The 9,491-nt window shown below is 35.5% G+C and overlaps 1 pseudogene, besides 1 other annotated feature; it reads right to left on the bottom strand.

The window, feature by feature from the left end:
- Positions 4,590–4,679: an enhancer, noted in NCBI's record as "active region_28256". NCBI's record gives its function as "activates an Ori minimal core promoter by ATAC-STARR-seq in GM12878 lymphoblastoid cells {active_cell/tissue: GM12878}" and the evidence as "EXISTENCE:reporter gene assay evidence [ECO:0000049][PMID:35858748]".
- PDK1P1 (pyruvate dehydrogenase kinase 1 pseudogene 1) lies at positions 8,083–9,202 on the bottom strand (annotated as a pseudogene).

Genomic DNA, 9,491 nt, shown 5'->3' with positions numbered 1-9,491 from the left:
CCAGCCTGGGTGACAAAGTGAGATCCTGTCTCTAAATATATATATTGTGGTTGCAATGCAAAGGAAGATTTTTTCAAATAAAATATCACAAAGTCTATATGAAATAAAAATAGAGTTTTCTACATTGAATGGTTATTTTCTATTCTTCACAAGACTGATATACTAAGCAGGTAGATACACCTGTACCTGGAGAAAGAAGTGTGTTACACATAGCCAACAAAGGGTTAGTATGTTGAATATATCGGGAAAGTCTAAAACATCTGCAAGACAAAAAAAAAAAAAAAAACAGAAATGAGCAAATAATTTGATCAAGCAATTCACAGAAAATGAAAATATGCAGATCCACTAAGCATATGAAAAGGTGGATGATCAATCTTATATCAGTAAAATGAGAATTAAATTTAAAATGAGATGTAACTGAACAACTATCATGATGAAAAAAGTAAACAGACAACTGAAATACCAAGTTATGACTAGAAATTACAATAACAGAATTTCTCATACACCGTTGATGGTAAGGTAATTGGAAAATGTCAAAACAAAAATTGTACCAGACATAGTTAAACAGGCAAGGAAAACCTTATTTAAGGTTACTGCAGTAGAAGTGAGAGGCCAGAGCTCAGCTTGAACTCAACTCCACTGAAGAAAAAGAAGGTACAATGGCTGGGATGAGGGTAATCATAGGACATCTGTGTTTACTAATTGGCTTTATTCAAAGAAAAAGTAAAGTTTCTTGTACCTTCCTGACAGAAAGTAGGTTTAGAACTTGGAGCTACATGCCCAGTGACATTAGGCTTCTACCCTGCCATAAAGACTGAAAGAAAGTTCTTCTGTCTTCCTTTCCTATCACATTTCAAAGGAATGACTTTCAGGTCTTTGAGAAAAATATTCCTGGGTTGTAAAACTGGCAAGAGGCTTTTACAAGATTTACATCTCAAAGGGGCAGAGAAAGAATTTATAATTACAGGTTTTCTTAGGTAAATTTTCTAAGAAAAGGAAGGGGAGGAGGGACCTCCATGGTTAGGCCATCAAGATTCTCTAAAGGTCTGGATGAGAGGAAGGTTGGAGGCCCAGAGGAAAGAGGAAACCTGTCTAAAGTTTAGCCAACTTGAGGAAAACATTTAGGCTGTCTAGGTCAAAAACAATTCAGCATTATAATTAGCAGTTAAATATGTGCATAAGCTGTCCCTGCAAATCTACTCCCAGGATATGCTCTAGAGGATATTGTTACATACAAGCAAATGTAACTGTAGTAACACATGAGGTAAAACCATAAAGTAGATTTTTTTAGAAAGCAAAATTATTTTTGTCTTTCTGCCCCTTTCATATGATCTTTTGGGCTAGCAAATCCCCTGCCCTACAATGAAGATTCCGGCAAGCCCCATTAATTTCTGATTACTTTTACACACTATCAAATGTTCTCAGGTCATTTGAAGGCTAACAGGTCAGCCACAATTTAGTCATTAATATGTCCTGTCCCATGTAATAGTCGAAGCTTCAATCTTTGTTTAAAGTTAAAACTCCCCCTTCTCTTCCATTTGGAAGAGGGATTTATAATTGGCCTTTTTCTCTTATCTTCAGAAAATATACAAGGAAAGGGAAAAAGAGGAGTAAAGGTATTAGTTAAAAATTTTCTCAATGATGGATAACATGGAAATTTGGCTTCAATTTTCTCTAGAAATAGAATACATTTAAAACTGTCTTTTCCTCTAACAGATTACTTCACTTGCTTTGGAGGGTCACCAGTACCACGGTTCCTTTTCCTATTCCATCTGCTGGCTGGACGCCTAGTCATTTGACAGTTACCCTTCTACTAAGGATGAAGTCTCCTCTTGCCAGAAAAACTTCTGTGACCCTCTAGAGTTGGAAAAAAAACAAAGGGTAATAGACAGCAATGACAACAAAAACCCCAAACACGTATTTTTGCCTACACTTTCTAGGTCAATGGAAAAAAGAGTAAAAAAAATTTAGCTACATTCTATTTGATTAAATGTTTTGAAGAGAAAGGAAGTGGAAGAAAAAAAATAGTATGGGGACCTGGACAGAAAGATAAGACAATAGACACACAAAACAGAGAGATAAATAGAAAGGATGTAGAGGTTTATCTGATTCTGCAGGATATGTTAATTAGTTTTTATGTCACTCTCTGCTAGTTCTTTAACTGGGTCACAGAATATTTATCACCTTAAAACACTATTCTTTGAAACTGCTAATCAATCAATTAACCACTGTTCACAGCTCTTTAGCTGCTACTTACCTGCTAGAAAGGAATTTTTCCAGAAAAGTTTCTATCCATTTTTGTTTATGACTGCATTTTTGTGCCCAGTACTTCTGGTTTATGTTAGCTACACATTTAAAATAAATGTTGTGAATTGATAAATGAATAAATGTATCTTTCAACCTGCAGGGAAGGAAGTTACTCTCTAATCTCTATGACTAGCCTGCAATAGTATGGCCAGATGAATAAAGTAAAGGTAATATCTTACCCACAGGCTAAAGATATTTTCATTGCTATAATTCCCCAAACTTTATTGTGCACCCATTAAATGAACCTGAATTTCAAAACCCATCTTTGCCTCAGGGTAAAAGCTAGTATCACAATAGTACTTACACAAAGTACAAGAATTCCAGCAGTTTTAAAAAACACTAGTCTAAAAAATAGAGAGTCAAACTGTCTTGCTTCTAATGCCAGCTCTGTCACATGCTAAATGATCTGGGGCAAGGTGCTAGGTATCTCTGTAATTCTCATCAGTAATGTGAGAAAATAATATTAGTAATGACTTCATAGGATTACTAAAAGATTAAATGTTAAGTACATACTAGGTATTCTGAACATATTATCTATAAATATTGTTATTTCACTTTAAACCCTGCAGAAATTATAGAGGTTGTTTCACATATTTACAAAAACAAGATTCTCACAAGCACTTCACAGACTACACCCTCCCTCCCTTTCCTCTGTGAATACCTATGTTAAACCACACTTTAGGTTTTCATCAAGAGCACCAGAATGCTCTTGATGATGCCTACCAGAGGTACTCCATTGTCTGCTAATGCCTAGACCAAGGATGCTAATGTCCAATGTTTGCTTATTTCAATATTAAGGGTGTTAATGACCTTCATTTATGAATCCCAAAACACTTTTTTTTTCTGAGACGGAGTCTCGCTCTGTCGCCCATGCTGGAGTGCAGTGGCGCGATCTCGGCTCACTGCAAGCTCTGCCTCCAGGGTTCACGCCATTCTCTTGCATCAGCCTCCGAGTAGCTGGGAATACAGGCACCCGCCATCACACCCGGCTAAGTTTTTGTATTTTCAGTAGAGACGGGGTTTCACCGTGTTAGCCAGGATGGTCTCGATCTCCTGACCTAGTGATCCGCCCGCCTCGGCCTCCCAAAGTGCTGGTATTACAGGCGTGATCCACCGCGCCCTGCCCCAAAACACTTTTTAATCTTTGGACAAAGGTCTAGCGCAGTTGTCTTTCAGACTAGAAGTCACGAATGTTGAGGCTATTCATATCTTACACTATCATTTTCTCCCAGGGAAGTCCAACTATAAGACATTTGATGTTCTTATTCACTTTTCTTAGTCCTTTATCCTAAAGTTTCAAACATTAACTCGTGAATCATGACTAGGAAGTATTTGAGAAAGAGATAATATTCTATGAGTATATTCTCTGCATTGGTTGGATTTCATCCATCGACCACGAAGCAAACATGCTTCAATTCTCTCTCTTCTTAGGAATTGTTTCCCTATACTCCCACATCCCAGAGTTATGCTCAGTAACTCATGCAGATAATAACTTTGAAATCTCCCCCACTACCTGTTCTTCAGTATTAGAGACTGAATGTTTGTGTCCCCCCACCAAAATTTATATGTTGAGACCCTAACCCTCAGTGTGGATGTATTTAGAAATGAGGCCTCTAAGATAATCATTAAGGTTAAGTGAGGTCATAATGGTGGGGCCCTGATCAAATAGGATTAGTTTCTTTATAAAAGTAAACAACAGAGTTTTCTCTCTCTTTACCTGCATACCCACCAAGAAAAGGCTATGTGAGAACATAGTGGGAATGCAGATGTCTGCAAGCCAGGAAGAGAGAGCTCTCCCCAGAGGCCAACCCTGTTGGACTTTGATTTGGAACTTTTAACCTCCAGAACTACGAGAAGATGAGTTTCTATTGTTGAAGCCATTCAGTCTATGGTAATTTGCTATGATAGCCCCAACTGACGAATACATCCATTCAGATATGGTAAAATTTGTCACAATTTTGGGGTAGACACAGCTCAATCTCAGTAATGGATGAGTCATGTGCCAATGACTCAATAAAATAGGAGCAGCTGAGATTAGGAGCAGAACATTGAGTTGGGAAAGGAGAGAGAAGCTTGGAAGAACTTAGAAATGCTTATTAGGGGCTCTTAGGGACGTGAGAAAAAAAAATGATGATTTGTAATGGCTGAAACTACTTACTACCATATCCTGAAGGTAAACACAATGTTCATAATATATAAACTGCCCATGTTTTAGAGAAAAAAAGTGGTTAGTAACCAAGTGCTGAGGTGGAGTTGAAGTCTGCAAAATACCACATGCTCTGAGCAGCAACTTGACTCAGAAGTTCCACCTAGAAACCGAAACCAAGTATGTTGCTTTCTCAAAGATAGACAAATATAAATGACCTCAAAAAGGATGACTTTATGCCAGTGAAACAGACTGTCCACTTTTATCAACTGTTTCCAACTATCCTATTAAGATCATATATGGGTAGTCAAGTGTTCTACAAAAAGAAATTAAGTTTGACAAACTTTCCATACTACTATATTTCCAAATTAAAGATTCATTTCCTGATAAATTAACTAGGACACAAATGCAAGTTTGAGAAAATTACTTTGGAGCAGATATGGATGTGAATTTATTCTCTTGAGTAATATTTATCAACTCATCTTTAAAATTGGTCATGATCCTGCATGTCAATAGTGTAAACTTTATAGTTCACACTATAGTTTACAGCAATTAAAAGGCATTAATATTTACTCTTCATGATATTCCTAGGGGAATTCTACAATAATCCCATTGAGGCTATTTTCTATACCTAAAGGTTATTTATCTATTTGATTTACAAATGGATACTCTTATATAGCTTCAGGCTTTATAACATTTACATCATTGGATAAAAACCCAAAGAAAAACGCAGCATCAATGACAGCAGCACATGGTACAATTTTAGATTTTGAAATGATCTATCAGTTAAGAGGCGTTGATTTATAAGCAACAGAAAACTCAAGCACAAAGTGGCTTAAAAATTAAGGGCATTAATTGGCCTAGGTAAATAAAAGTAAAGAGGCCAACCTTTGCACTTAATTTACTTGAAGGACCACAGAATATCATCAAGAGATAGCTTTTCTATAGCACTCTGCTTTACCTTCAGTAATATTACCATTATTCCCAAACTGCCATTTCTTTCAGTTACAAGTTGAAAAGTTATACATTTCTTCTTCTTTTTTTTTTTTACATCAATTAGGTAAGAAAGGCTCACTTCCAGAAACTTCCTGATAAGCCAGAAGATCCCTATTTTCCATCACATCATAACAAATATTTTATTTAGTCTTGTTGGGCCAAACTGAGTGAAGAATGACAAATTTTTCCCATTTTTTAGATTACTGCCATATGGAAAACATTTTGTAAAATATTTTGTTTCCGTTTCAATATATTCATTTAAAAATGTCGTAGTGCTAGAAATTAATGATGTTTAAGTATGAATTATGCATTATTGATTATGCAGAACATTTTTTTCTATCCCCTCCTTTAAAATGTTGCCACATTCATTAGCTGTCCAAGTTTTAAAAAATCACATGGTATCCATTTATTATTCTTCAATACATTTTTATATCTGCAATGGATTAATCAGGTACTGGTGAATATAATAACTTGAGAAGAATTTAAACATTGAAATGTTTCAGGGAGCACAGTGATTTAAAACCAACCAGGAGAAAAATTCCCTCAAAATATTGTTTTATATAATTTTCTGTCTATTACCAGAGAGCAAAATAAAAACAGTAAACAGCTTGTAAAGAAAAATAGAAAATATTTCTCTTTTGCTGCTCCTTTGAAACCACCATTATTATTAGTGTTCAGGTAAAGAAAGTAACACTTTAATTTTGGGAATGGTGGAATCCTTCATAAGTAAAATAATAAACTTTATCTCAGTTGTATGACATCTTATTTAGAAAAGAAGATTTCTTCAGTTCAAAGTATTATAAAAAGGTTCATTTTTGCATGAAAAGTGAAATTTAAAGTTAAAAAATTAGCAATTTGAACTAACAAATCACCAATTAGCTCATTTTAGTATCTTTAACAAATCCATAATGATGGAAAAATAGAAAAGATGTTATTTTTCCAAAAATTGTTCAGATTAGCTATGAATTACTATGCAAACCATAAAGCACTCTGAGCCTTAGAGTCTTCACCTATAAAATGAGGGAACATGATTAAATGCCCTTTAACCTCCCTTCCAATCTACCAATTTAGGTAGTAGCATTACCATTTTAAATAATCCTTTAAAGAGTGAGGGTTTCACCTCAAAGTATTTTCTAAATATATGAAATTCCCCTTTTAAGTTGCAAACCTTTGCTATCAACATTTACAAGAAATGCATTATTACTTTCCTGTCACACTAAAAGAGTGTGAGGTATCACCCACAACACCGTCCCCTGACTTCACAGCTCTGCCTGTAAAACATAGCACCAAATAGAACAGATCAGCACACATAGGCTTCTGTACCTTGGCTCAATTATCTGTAATTTTGAGACAAGCTTTGCTTCTCAAAATGAGGAAGATAGAAACGTTCCTGTCTATCTTTCACTGTTTTGAAGACCAAAAGAGATTACCATATCGATGCAAATGATTATCTTTGTGATGAACAATTTTGACTTTTCCTGATGAAAAGATCTAGAGACTATATAACATATATCTTCTTTAAGGGCACTTATACATTTATGATTTAAATCTTTCAGTTTACTGATTATTCTGTAGTCATTTTGTTTCTTTTCTAACTTGCTGCTTTGTCCTCTAATTGCATCAGCCTGGGATACAGTTTGTTTCTCCCCAAGAGTCTAGAAACCTGACCTTTCAAAAAGTGAAAGTGAAAACCTATAGATCTCTCTGTTACTTTAGCAAATTTGGTATTGCCATTAATTTTAAAACAATGGCTTCCTAGAGCAGGAAAACTTTTTTGTTGTTGTTTTTTCTTGAGATTCCTCCACTCCACTCCAGCCCTAGAAATTCTGATTGAGTATATCTGGGCAGGATAAAGGAAATTTCTGTTTCTCAAAACTCCCTAGTTAATTCTGAAATTGGTCAGTTTGGGAACCACTACTTTGTTCTCTGTTTTAGGCCTACTATAACATTTTCCTCCGACATTAATCACAACACATTCAGAGTAGATTTTCAGAAATCTGTAGAGAACTACTGTAACAATCTTTTTCAGGAAAATTTTAAAATGGTATATTAACTGCAGAGCTAAGACAGTTCAGGTAGACACTGAAAAGTGGGTGGCTGTTCCTCATGGGAAAATTGTTTTCCACTTTACTTGTAATCATTCACTGGTAAACACAAAGACTATCTTATAACAATTGTCATTACTAACTATAACATGAAAGTTCTCCAAATAACAAAAAGATGGCTGAGTAGTTAATTGGTATTATTGGGAAAATGTGTCTCGTAGACTAAATAAAAGCATAAAATAAACTGCTTTCTATAGAATTTCAAACTTTTCTCATGCCTCTGGAGTTTACCATAAACAGGACAGAAAAGTTAACCAAAAATACTATTATTGAAAAATAAGCTCAGTTAGCTGCAAGAATATAAGTTAAAAAAATACGTATAATTTTCTCTTTGAGGAGTTTTAAGACATGCATAGATTTCAAATTCCATTTATTATACCCAGAATAACTAATTATGAAAATGATATTTAAAATATTTGGTATCAAGTATGGACACCACCCCTTCCAAACTTAATATAAAACCCACATTTTTTTTCTTAGGTGTCCTAGATGTCTGTAGCCACTGAAGAATGTTTTTATACCTCTTTGTTGTCTGCTTGGGCTGCAAGCATAAGCCTCATGGTTGATATTGTCCTGCATCTACGCAGCTGTCTTATATAATGAGGAGTCTAATGTGGACAAATACATCTGCCACATAACCCTCTAGGAGACATAGCTTTGGTTCTCATTGAAATATTATACATCAAAGCATTCGTTGGTTAATCCATAATTCAAACCAGCCAGGAGTGCTACTCCAGATATTTCTGCAGGAATCTACATGAATACATGTGGTTGAAGAATCTGTGATTTTCCTTCAGAGGCACAACACTTCAACAAACATTCATATGTGTCCAATCCTAACTACCTGCTATGACATGAACTTGGATAGAGGGTTAAACACATTTTGTCAGTATAGTGTCCCATGATTGCTCTCATGTCACTTAAAAAGTTCAAACTCCCTATGAGAAAGACAAGTGGTACAAAAACCACTTGGATTAGCTGTTCTGGTGATTTGCACTTAGTTCTCCAACTTTAATTTTAGGAGAAATAATACAAAACAAATTGCACAGATCGTTAGCATTTTCCTAGCCATCTTTTAATAATTTTAGCTAACTTGCAATTTATATTAAAGCTTCCAAAGCATTTTGATTGGATGGAATTATCTTGTTTTTGCCACCATAGAATAAAGAATAGCAAGTTGAGTAACCTTACAATCAAAATGCAACTCATATCGAAATATCCAAAATGTAGTTAACATTCTGGCTGGTGGTGGGAATATCCCCAAAGCAATCCTGTATATATTTTATTTTTTTAATTGACAAACACAATTGCATTGCATATTTCTCATGTACAACATTTAATCACATTCTGAGCTATGCCAATGTCCTTGTGTCTTACAGATCCTTATCACCATGTCTATGAAAAAAATAAAGACCATTAGCACCCTCAGCATTTTCGTCCTTAAAAATTAAGCAACTTCTGAAGACTTCTAATATTCCAGCTCTGTATCAGTTGAGCTGATGATGATGTTCTGAGATTATCAGAAGGAGACTATTTCTTTAATTATATTTGCTATTCCCATGGCCAACCCTGGCCTGAGATATGTGAATGAGGTCTTCTCAACCCCTCTCCCAGATCCAAAAGTTGGCAAGAAGCATGTGTAAAAGTCAAAAGGCCATATATTTCATTGAGCAGAGGGCAATTACAAGGACCCAAATGAGTCCTCAGGGTCACAGCCATTGCTGGGGGAATAAAGATTCCGAAGGTGCCACTGGGGCTTGGTGCTGAGATCCCTGAAGCTGCCATCCCAGCCCTCAGTGAACCCTACACCAGGAGCCCAAGCCACCTGCAATTGGTTGCCACCCTTCTTTGAACCAATAATGTCTCCAGAAGATGAGTTTATGCTGAAATATTTTAGCCTGAGCTATAAGCCCTGTTTTTAGAGTCAGGAATTAGGT

This window comes from Homo sapiens, chromosome 9, assembly GCF_000001405.40.
Source record: "Homo sapiens chromosome 9, GRCh38.p14 Primary Assembly".
NCBI classification, from domain to species: Eukaryota; Metazoa; Chordata; class Mammalia; order Primates; family Hominidae; genus Homo; species Homo sapiens.
This window is presented reverse-complemented; position numbering and strand designations above follow the sequence as displayed.